General features: G+C 46.2%; 1 annotated feature.

Annotated features, from left to right (window-relative positions):
• Window positions 583–1,782: an enhancer, noted in NCBI's record as "MED14-independent group 3 enhancer chr20:59676211-59677410 (GRCh37/hg19 assembly coordinates)". NCBI's record gives its function as "activates an origin of replication core promoter dependent on BRD2, BRD4, P300/CBP and CDK7 cofactors, and independent of MED14, by STARR-seq in HCT116 cells {active_cell/tissue: HCT116}" and the evidence as "EXISTENCE:reporter gene assay evidence [ECO:0000049][PMID:35650434]".

Here is a 12,167-nt window from a genome sequence, read left to right as displayed (position 1 = left end):
CAATGGACACATGGATACTAACGTGTTGGCTGCGAGGATTTGTGAGGAGAGGCCTGGAGCTGGGAGTCTAAAAGAAAATGACTGCATCAGGCACCAGAAATCTTTCTGGAGGTGATGAAAATGCTCTAATATTGGATTAGGTTGATGATTACACAGCTCTGTAACCATCAATGTTATTAAATTGATAACATTTTTAAGCTTTAATATTGAATCATATGCTTGAAATGGGTGAACTTTCTGGCATGTAAATTATACCCCAAAAAAGTTCTTAAAAATAATTAGAGGAGGTGGCCATCTGCCTTAACTCAGGGTGTCTCCAGGTGTGGCACAGGACGTAGAGGAGGTGGCTGTCCACCTTTACTCTGTGTGTCTCCAGGTGTGACACAGGAATTAGAGGATGTGGCCATCTGCCCTCACTCGGGGTCTCCCCAGGTGTGACACAGGAATTAGAGGATGTGGCCATCCGCCCTCACTCGGGGTCTCTCTAGGTGTGACACAGGAAGTAGAGGATGTGGCCTTCTGCCCTCACTCGGGGTCTCTCCATGTGTGACACAGGAATTAGAGGATGTGGCCGTCTGCCCTCACTCGGGGTCTCTCCAGGTGTGACACAGGAAATAGAGGATGTGGCCGTCTGCCCTCACTCGGGGTCTCTCCAGGTGTGACACAGGAAGTAGAGGAGGTGGCCGTCTGCCCTCACTCGGGGCCTCTCCAGGTGTGACACAGGAAGTAGAAGAGGTGGCCATCTGCCCTCACTTGGGGTCTCTGCAGGTGTGACACAGGAAGTAGAGGGGGTAGCTGTCTGCCCTCATCGGGGTCTCTCCGGATGTGGCACAGGACGTAGAGGACATGGCTGTCTGCCCTCACTTGGGGTCTCTCCAGGTGTGACACAGGAAGTAGAGGAGGTGGCCATCTGCCCTCACTCGGGGTCTCTCCAGGTGTGACACAGGAAGTAGAGGAGGTGGCCATCTGCCCTCACTCGGGGTCTCTCCAGGTATGACACAGGAATTAGAGGATGTGGCCATCCACCCTCACTCGGGGTCTCTCCAGGTGTGACATAGGAATTAGAGGATGTGGCCATATGCCCTCACTCGGGGTCTCTCCAGGCATGACACAGGAATTAGAGGATGTGGCCGTCTGCCCTCACTCGGGGTCTCTCCAGGTGTGACACAGGAAGTAGAGGAGGTGGCCGTCTGCCCTCACTCGGGGTCTCTCCAGGTGTGACACAGGAATTAGAGGATGTGGCCGTCTGCCCTCACTCGGGGTCTCTCCAGGTGTGACACAGGAAGTAGAGGACATGGCTGTCTGCCCTCACTCGGGATCTCTCCGGATGTGGCACAGGAAGTAGAGGACATGGCTGGCTGTCCTCACTCGGGGTCTCTCTAGGTGTGACACAGGAAGTAGAGGAGGTGGCAGTCTGCCCTCACTTGGGGTCTCTCCAGGTGTGACACAGGAATTAGAGGATGTGGCCATCTGCCCTCACTCGAGGTCTCTCCAGGTGTGACACAGGAAGTAGAAGATGTGGCCGTCTCTCCTCACTTGGAGTCTCTCCAGGTGTGACACAGGAAGTAGAGGAGGTGGCTGTCTGCCCTCTCTTGGGGTCTCTCCGGATGTGGCACAGGACGTAGAGGACATGGCTGTCTGCCCTCACTCAGGGTCTCCCCAGGTGTGACACAGGAAGTAGAGGATGTGGCCATCTGCCCTCACTCGGGGTCTCTCCAGGTGTGACACAGGAAGTAGAAGACGTGGCCATCCGCCCTCACTCGGGGTCTCTCCAGGTGTGACACAGGAAGTAGAGGAGGTGGCTGTCTGCCCTCTCTTGGGGTCTCTCCGGATGTGGCACAGGACGTAGAGGACATGGCTGTCTGCCCTCACTCAGGGTCTCCCCAGGTGTGACACAGGAAGTAGAGGATGTGGCCATCTGCCCTCACTCGGGGTCTCTCCAGGTGTGACACAGGAAGTAGAAGACGTGGCCATCCGCCCTCACTCGGGGTCTCTCCAGGTGTGACACAGGAAGAAGAGGAGGTAGCTCTCTGCCCTCACAGGGGTCTCTCCAGATGTGGCACAGGATGTAGAGGACATGGAGGTCTGCCTTCACTCGGGGTCTCTCCAGTCACAGGACTTGTCAGTGGGGTTTTGTTTTAAATACAGTGTTTGGGGCCTGCCTGCCCAGTAACCAGACTTCTGCTGTGGAGCCCGGGGATCTGTCTGGTGTCCTATTGTCTTGCACAATCTGTACATGTACCAACGTCTGAGAACCTGCTCTGCACCTGTGAATCACCCTCATGGCCACCAACCCACAGCCTCATGCTGAGTTCATCACCCCGATCACTCCACAGCTCCTCCTGCGGAACCTTTCCACGGGTGCAGGGAAGGGGGTGCCGCTGTGCCAGGCCCACCAGCACCTGCTGGACCCCTGAGTGAAGGCCTCTCCTGCTCCCCTGCAGCCCAGCCCTGTCTCTATGCGGCTTTCTCAAGATAACCTGTGCTCACCCCTGTTTTTCAGTAGTTCTAGAAAGCACTGTTCAATAACTGGATGCTGCTTTAGCAGTTTGGACAAGGAAGTTTGGAGCAATTTAAATGTTAAAAACAGGAATCCTTATATTTTGATTAGTATTACTGATTTCCAAAAGAGACGTTTTCCTTTCAAAATCCGAAAAGAAGAAGAGTGGAAAGCACCAGGGAGAAGCGTTTTGGGGCCATCCGTCCTTCCAGGACTTCCTTCCAGATACTGGAGGCTGTAAGACCCTGCTGAGCTGCTGAAGTCAGTTTCATTTGACTGCATGGTTTACAGTAAATAGCTTGGACAACTCGGAGAGGAAGTTAATTTATCCTCTTGCTGGAACATTTCATTAGATCAGGGGTCTCCTTTTCTTTCAGTCAGCCAAGAAATTGGAGCGAGCAAGGACAGGGAGGCGTCCGTGAAGGCCAGACGTGCCGGCTCCTTTGTGCCGGGAGTGATGGAAGGAGTCAGTTTGGGCAGCGCTCCAGACACGCCTTCGCTGCTCTGTGCAGCCTGTTTCTTCTTCCTTTTCTTTGCTGGCTGAAAATTCTGGATACTTAGTGGAATAAGTGAAATTTTGTGGGGCGTAAGACACAAGAGGGCAACGAGGTGGGATGAGGGGAGGCTGGGCTTGCTTTTGCCTGGGTGCCCGCCGCGACTGTGCTGCCTGCTTCTGATGAAGCTGCTACCTCTGAACGCAGCACCCCGAGGCAGTGCTGAGTTGGTGGGAGAGGCTCTGGCACCAAGCGAGGCCTTGGGTTCAAAAGGCCTGCCTCCAGGCACTAGCTGTGTGACTCCAGGCAGGCAGTTTCTTCCTCTGAGTCTGTGAAAATGGATTTAACTGCAAAATTCACAGACCCTTGATAAGGTTAAATGCAAAGGTGCCCACCAAGGGCTCTTATACCTGAGGACCAGGAGGCAGTGGCTGAGAAGACTAACCTGGGAACCACAGAGTCATGCCTATTCCTCTTGCAAAGGGCTTGACCTGGGTGGTGATTTAACCCCAGTGCAGCCAAACGTAAGGCAGGGAGGCTGATATCCACCCCTCCAGGCTGGGATCTCACGTCAGGGCACCCAGCCTGGGACCAGGGGTTGCATCAGAGGCTCCCCATCCTCACGTGGGATTCTCCTTCCTCCAGCCCCTGGCTGGAGTGCTCGGACTCTGTGGTCAGATAACCCTGGAGCTGAATTTCATCTCTGAGTGTTATCAGCAGCATGGTCTTTTTGGCGAGTTATTTCGACTCTCTGAGCCTCCTTTTTATCTTTTAACAAATATTTATTGAATACAAAATTTGTGCCAGACACTGGGTAGGTATGAGGATATTGATAATGAACAAAAAGAAGCATATTTTCAAGAGGGGGTGGTAGGCATTAAGCTCTGATAAATGGGAGGCTGCCACCCAGGGGCAAGACACGGATGAACCAGGGATGCTCACAGGGGCATGCTGAGTATGGTGCTGGCCCCACCACAGTGCCAAAATCATGGTTTGAGTCATTATTATTATTTGTGCTATTACTATGACTATTATCACCCATGCATTTTAGTCCTTCGTAGGCATGAACCCTTAATCAACATTATATATTGCTGCTATTAGTAATTATTTTCCAGCATTATACACACGTGGGAGCTGTCAGACAGGGGAGAGCCCAGTGTAGCCAGACCTGGGAGGGTAAAGCTACCGATAGAGACACTGCTCAGCCTTTCTTGCTGCCTCCTTTACCTTGGTTTAAACATGGTCTCCCCAGAAGTGGAGCCAGCATCTGATGTGCTTCAGGGTCCAGCATTGCCAGGAAATTTCTTAGAAATGCAAATTCTCAGACCTGGTAAATTAGAAACTGTAGGATGAGGCCAGCGCCTGTGTGTCAGGAAGCCCTCCTGATGACTTGGTTGCTGGCTAAGTTTGGGGTCAGTTGGTCCCCCAGGGAGGGGAAGACCAGGAAGCCAGACAAGCTGCACATCTGAGGTAGCACCTTCAGCTGCATAGAGAAGCATCCTGAAGCCTCTCCAGAAGTCCAGCAGATGTTGGTGTCATGCTTGTTCATCCTGCAGAATCATGAGCCAATCAAATCTCTTTTCTTTATAAATTACCTAGCTTCAGATATTTCCTTATAGCAATGAAAAAAAATTGTTGGACAGGGTGGATATGTTCTGGAGAGCTATTGTAAGCGCGGTGACTGTAGTCAATCATAATGAATCCTATACCTGGAAATTGCAAGACAGTTGATCTTAAATGTTCTCACCACAAAAAAAATGGTAAGTGGCTATGTTAATTAGCTTGATGTAATTGTTTTACAATGTATACATGTGTTAAAACATTATGCAATGTAGTATACTGTAAATATATATAATCTTCATTTAGCAATTATACCTTAATAGTGCTGGGGGTGAGGGGGGAAGAGAATTGTTTGGAGCCTGCAGGAGATGGAGGGAATGGAAAAAAAAGGAAAGAAAGAAGAAAGGTTTAACCTTCTTTCCATGTTCAACAAAGTGTACATAAATGGGGATGTCCCTCTGTTTCTCCAGGGTGAAGGCATTTCAGGATGTGAGAGGGAAGTCAGCCTTGCTAAGTGTTGGACAAGCACTGTGGGACCTCCCCAAGGAGAGAGAGATTTACCTCTTGCCTTTCCCATCCTTTCTTTCCTTTCTCTCCCTCCTTCCTTCCTTCCTCTCTTTCTTTCTCTCTCTTTCTTCTTCTTCTTTCTTTCTCTTTCTTTCTTTCTTTCTTTCTTTCTTTCTTTCTTTCTTTCTTTCTTTCTTTCTTCCTTCCTTCCTTCCTTCCCTCCCTCCCTCCTTCCTTCCTTTCTTTCTTTCTTTCTTTCTTTCTTTCTTTCTTTCTTTCTTTCTTTCTTTCTTCTTTCTTTCATCTCTCTTCTTTTCCTCTTTTTTTATTTTAAAAAACTTCGCTTGGTTGGGTTGTTATTTTGCTTTTTGCTGGGTAAAAGAACAGATGATATGGTTGGACGTTTGTCCCCTCCAAATCTCCTGTTGAAGTGGAGTCCCCTGTGTTGGAAGTGGGGCCTGATGGGAGGTGTTTGGATCATGGGGGTGGATCCCTCATGAATGGCTTAGCAGCATCCTCTTGGTGATGAGTGAGTTCTCACTCAGGTCTTGTAAGATCTGGTTGTTCAAAAGCTTGAGACTGCCCCCTTGTTTCCACTCTTGCCATGTAATACTCCAGCTCCTGCTTTGCCTTCTGCCATGATTGTAAGCTTCCTGAAGCCTCTCCAGAAGTCCAGCAAATGTTGGTGTCATGCTTGTTCAGCCTGCAGATTCATGAGCGAATCAAACCTCTTTTCTTTATAAATTACCAGCTTCAGATATTTATTTATATTAATGCAAAAGATGGCCTAACACAGAGGCTAGACCATTAAGTAAAGCAGCTGGTGGTAATGGACTTGCTCAATTTCCAGACTTGCATCTTTGTAAATTACCCTGGCACCAAACACAAGCATTAATATGTAAAACATACATCAGTGAAGATTATCTTACCATCTTCAACTATGCTGTCACTGGAGATAAGAACCAAAGCCATAGCTAGACAGATTGGCCCCAGGTGTCAAATGGATCTTTTCTAGTGAGGTAGGGGGTGGGGATGAAGGACAGAGAGATGCCAGAATCATCTGATGAACTTTCAAAGATCAGTAAACAAATAGAAAAACACTGATATTTAGGGAACTTTAAAGTAAACAACATGAAACATAATTTCCATAATCAGACCTGCAAAAAAAAAAAAAAAAAGAAAAAAGAAAGTCTGACATTACCAAGTGATGGCAAAGATGTGGGGGAGGCTGGACATCACACAAAGATCCTTTCAGTCAATTTCATTGCGGCTTCATTTATCAGAAACTTACAGAACAACTTCGTAGGGTTTTGGATGTATCTATAGAGTTTCATGTAGGGTGATATATACTATACAGGTCATTTTTCAAATTTGAAATTAATATAGAGATTTACTTTAATGATAAAACAAAAATGCAGCAGCAAAACAACATAACAGAGAAACTTAGAGAATTAAATATTATTTTCCTATGGTTAGTGTTTGCATGGTATGTCTTTTTTTGTCTTTTTAGTTTTAACCTATCTGTGTCTTTAAAGTGCTTCTCTGATATACAGCAGGGTTGGGTTTGCTTTTCAGTCCAGTCTGACACCCCCTTGCTTTGCTGTTAGGAATGAGCAGGCATAGAGGGTGAGTGAGCATTACCACCTGAGCTGTGCCTCCTCTCAGATCAGTGGTGGCATTAGATTCTTATAGGAGTGCAAACCCTATTGTGAGCTGCACATTTGAGGGATCTGGGTTGTGTGCTCTTTATGAGAATCTAATGCATGATTATCTGAGGCTGAGCTGAGGCAGTGATGCTAGTGGTGGGGAGTGGCTGCAAATACAGATTAACATTAGCCGGGAGGTTTGACTGCAGAGACCATAGTAAATCAACTGCTTGCAGACTCATATCAGAACCCTATCAGTGAGTGGCAGGTGAACATTAAGCTGTGTCTGGTGGCACGCTCTATCGTGGCAAGTGAGCTGATATACTTCAGTTGTACAGCTGCATCTGGTGAGCCTAAAAGTATGTTTGAGACAACTTCACATCACCATACATTCTGGATTAAAGTCAAGGCAGAATATCCTGAGATTGCCACAAAATCACTGAAAAGCCTGTTTCCATTTCCAACATCCTATCTTTGTGAAGCAGTTTTCTGCAGTGACAGCCACCAAAATGAGATTACAGAATAGACTGGACATAAGCAACACACTTTGGGTGTCACTGTCTCCCATCACCCCCAGATGGGACTGTCTAGTTGCAGGAAAACAAGCTCAGGGCTCCCACTGACTCCACATGATGGTGCGGTGTATAATTATTTCATTATATGTTACAATGTAATAACAATAGAAATAAAGTGCACAATAAATATGATGTGCTTGAATCATCCCCAAACCATCCTCCCCACCACCCAGTTCATGGAAAAATTGTCTTCTGCAAAACCAGTTCCTGGAGCCAAAAAGGTTGGGAGGCATCTTTTTGTTTTTATTTTTTCTGGCCACTTCCAACACTGCCTCTTTATCTTTGATTTTCAACAGTCTGACTCTGATAGGTCTGGTATGTCTAGGTGGGTGTTGTGTATGTGTTTATTCTGCTTAGGGTTCATGAATATTCTTGGTTTTACAGCCTGTTACTTTTCCACAAGTTTGGAAATGCCCATCTTTTCTTTATGTATTTTTTTCCTGATCAAATTCCCTCATCTCCTTTTTGGTATTCCAATTACATCCATGTTAGATCATTTGGTATTGTCCCACAAGTCATTAATTTCCATTTGTTTTCAATCTTTTCTCTCTCTCTTTCCACTCCCTGCTTTATTTTGCATAGTTTTAATTTCTCAGGCTTAAAAATCACTGATTATTTTCCTTCTCTAGTTCTTGTTCTGCTGCTAAGTACATCCAGTAAAATTTTCATTTCAGATATTTTATTTTTCCATTATAAAATTACCAAATTTTTCTTTTTAGTTTCCATTTCTCCCCTGAGATTCCCCATCTGCATGCTCATTATGTCCATCTTTTAGTTTAAATACTTAAACATATTTATAATGTCTGCCTTAAAACCCTCTTCTGTTAATTAAAACATTGCATCATCTTTTAGTGGGCCACATTTTTTTCTGTTCTTTATGTGTCTAGTGATTTTTATTGTATGCTGGACAGTATGAATGATCTATCACAGTGAATCTAGATTATGTGGTCTTCCTTTTAAGAGTGGTGAGCCTTTCTCTGGCAAGCAGTTAACTTACTGGCAGATGAGTTCTATGCTGTTGGACCGTGCTTTTAGGCTTTGTTAGGATGGGTCTAGGAATAGAGTACTTCTCTTCTTAAGACCTTGCCAGTCCGGGTATCAAATGACTGTCAGGGATGCCCAGTCAGTGTCTCTGCACTGACTGTTCAGGACTGCAAGTTCCCCTAGTCCCAAGCATCCTCTGAAATCGCTAATATCTGTTCAGCCCACAGCTTCCAGGATCTGTTCTCTGCCCATCCTTGCAGAATCTTTCTGTGGGCACTTGCAGCTTAATATTCAGCCATGTAGTCAATGGGATCTATGTAGATATCTGAAGCTGCTTCTCTGCACAGCTATCTCTTTCTCCCATTTGTGTACACACAAATTCCAGTCAACTCGGCAGTCCCGGTTCTGATTTCTGTTTCCTCCCCACAGTGAGACCATTGCTCTCCACTCAGCTCTAACTCCTTGTGTGACATTTTGGAAAGTCCTCTTGGAGGGAGTGCCTGGGTCCATGTGGACCTCACTTTGTTTGTTTCTCTTCTCTCAGGATTATTTAAAGCCTGAAAACAGGTGAAGCTGGATGGAGGGTAAGCCCAATACCTGTCACTCTGATGTGGCCAGGCCTGGAAGTTGAGCCTAACTAATTCCTAGAAGAAGCTGGACTGTTCTCAAGTCTGACTCCGACTATCATTACAATCATGTGTAATACTATTGATGCTTACTGTGTACCACTAGGCCATGTAGAAGCACCTTACAGTCAGTTACTGGTTAGATAAAACATCACCTCTTAGATCAAGGAGCACTGCATTGAAAATATACTTATTACTTAACAAATATTTACCAAGCACCTATTATGTACCAGGAGCTGCTTTTGGTGCTGTGGGTATGGTGATGATTAAGACAGATGAGGTCCTTGTTGTTGTAAGAGCCTATTCTAGTGGGAGATCGGTGATAAGTGCAAAATAAATTAAAATAGTTCAGACTGTGATAAAGCCTATGGAGAAAACAAAACTGAGTGATGGACAGACTGATGGAGATGGACATTTCTGAGTGACAGTTGCTTAAAACCCCTGTATAGGTTAACATTTGAGCTAGATTGATGGTTCTCAGCTACAGGTGATGTTGTTGTTCCCTCTCCTCCAGGGCATGTGACAGTATCTGGAGACATCCTTGGTTATCACAGCTGAGTGGGTGCTACTGGCATCTAGTGGGGTAGAGGCCAGGAATGCTGCTGAACACCTTGTAATACACAGGAGAGACCCCACAACAGGGAATCATCTGATCCAAAGTGTTACAAATGCTGAGGTTGAGAAACTGGGGAGAGAGCCTCCTGAGTAAGCTCGGTACTTCTGGATGCTTTTAGCGGGCATGTAGTTGGCTTTCACAGGATTCTGCCATAGTCTTATTGAGCTCAGTTTAATTGAGTAAGAAATGAGACTGGAGAGAGGGTGGGCAATTCTTTCATATCAAACTGGGCATGCTCTGATCTTTCTGCAAGCTTGAGTATGTGGTCAAAACATCCTATTTTATGGGTTGAAATTAACCAAGTTATATGAACTACCATTATGTAGAAGAGCTTGCTGGCCATGAAATAGGCAAATGGTGTACTGAAAACTCTCTATGGGCTCGGACTTTACTGGATTCTCTGGAGAAACAAATAATCCATATATTGTTGTTGCCCTTAAGGAACTCACAGTTTAGCCCAGAACATTCATGCATGACTCAGTTAATGGGCAGTTTAGTGTTTGCCTGTTTTTAGCCACAATGGTAAAGGAGAGATGGCTGTTGGGGGTGGCCTCTTGCAGGAAGGAGGTGGGCATGGGAGAGCTCTTCCTCTCAGGCTGTGCTCTGGTTGTAGAATTACCACCTCCCCTGTTCACCACAAACTCTGAAGCCAAAAGGAACTCAAAAGTCACCTGGAAGAAGCTTCTCTCCCCAGAAATGGCTGCAATTCCTTCTCTGAAGAGGCTCAGAGACGAGGGGTGTGAAACTAGTGCTGACAAAAAGCTGGGCTTCATGTAGAGTGGGAAGCTCATTTAAATAATAATAAAATACTAACTGAATGGGAAGATCCACTTGTGTATTGGTTTCTGAAATGAAAGAAGTGGTCTGCCTTCTCTGTAATTGCTGTCAGGTTTTAAGCATCCTCTTTTCAGAACTGTCCTTTTAATGCAGCCGTGAAAATTGTTACCAAGCAACAAGCGGGTCTTGAGAGGTAAGCATTCAAGAGTGACTGACATGGAGACTTTTCATCCAGAGGAAGCCGCCGTTATGCCAGCCCCGAAAATGGTGTGATGTCAGCTGCTCTGGCCTGCGAGGGCCAGGAGGTGATGTTCGGTTCAGGGAAGATCACAAAGCTGAAAATAAATAAATAAACAGGTACGTCCTCTCATGCCAGAGAACAGCACGTAGTGGATCTGACTTTATTTTGCTGCAAAGGGACTGCACACAAAGGTGTCTTCTCTTTATCTGGAAAGTTGTGTTCACTTCAGTCTTGGCCACCAGAAGCAAGAGGAATCCTGCTGTGGGACTCTACGGTGGCATTTCAAGATGGCGGGTCCCAAAATCCAGTCCACACCCAATAATGCATTGACCATAAGAGGGGCTTGAACTCAGCAAAATCGCCTTTATGGTGCAAGGAATGTAGATTGGTAAGATTCTCATCAGCACCTCCTTATCTTTATCTCTGCCCCGGGCTCTAACTTGACCATCTCCTCCCTTTGAGGTCTTGGTAAGTGAGACCTACCTCCTTTTCAGTACCTGCCTTCGTTCTAGGCCTCTGTGGACTGCTTTATATGATTTTCACAGTCATAATTCCTTTAGGTTGGAAATTCTGCCCTGATCTAGGGACTTTATGGGTTTGATTCTTAGCCATTAGCTACCTTCTTCTGGAGCAAATTTTTCCTTGGACTTGAGTTACTTGTCTTGGGCCCATAAGCCACTGCCAACTCCATGTAAACAACAACAACAACAACATCAATTGACTTTCCCCAAACTCATACATATCAATGTGAACTAGTTAAGAAAGCTATGGGTGGTTGGGGGCTTGGGGAGAGATAGCATTAGGAGAAATACCTAATGTAAATGATGAGTTCATGGGTGCAGCAAACCAACATGGCACATGTATACCTATGTAACAAACCTCCACGTTGTGCACATGTACCCCAGAACTTAAAGTATAATTAAAAAAAGAAAGAAAGAAAGCTACACAAGAATAAAAAAGAATGCATTTTGAAGCCTACGGCCACATGGAAATGCCTAGCAGACGGGACCTCCAGCAACAGAAGCCAGCTGTGTAAAGGTGGGTGCTGTGCGGTTCCATTTCCATGAAGCCCAAGAGCGAGGAGCACAGTCCATGCTGACAGAAGTCAAAACAGTGGCTTCCTCCCAGGGCCGTGACTGCAGGTGCAGGTGGGAGCCTTCTGTGTCTCCGTGGGAGGTGGTTACATGGGTGTGTAATGAGGGCCTCATTCATCTCCTAAGATTTATGCACTTTATTCTCACATAAGGTACTCCTCAATTTTTAAAAAATGGAGGACCAATATAATTTGCCCGCAAATAGAAAATTCATAATTGATGTAGGCCGTTGTCAAAGTCAGAAGTCTCTCTTCTCTAGGCCCTATCTGTTTCTTTTAAGGGAAACACACAGCAGAACTTGCAGGCTCTGTAGAGAGGGGGCCAGTGGGGGCTGGCTCTAATGTCCTGGTCGTGGCTCACTGCCCCCAGATAACGCTGAACCATGAGGACGCAGCTGGTTCCCCATGCTGACTTCCACTCCTGCCCAGGAAAATTCTTTTGTCAATTGCTGGAGTGGTTTGGGTGCCTTTTAAAAGGGAGAATAGGCCCAGAAAGTTTATGAGGCCTCTCCGGGGCTGCTACAAAGGGAGGAACGTGTGTTGCCCGT

This window comes from Homo sapiens, chromosome 20 (genome assembly GCF_000001405.40).
Source record: "Homo sapiens chromosome 20, GRCh38.p14 Primary Assembly".
Lineage (NCBI taxonomy): Eukaryota > Metazoa > Chordata > Mammalia > Primates > Hominidae > Homo > Homo sapiens.
Note: the sequence above shows the minus strand (reverse complement) of the source record. Positions and strands in the feature narration are given on the sequence as shown.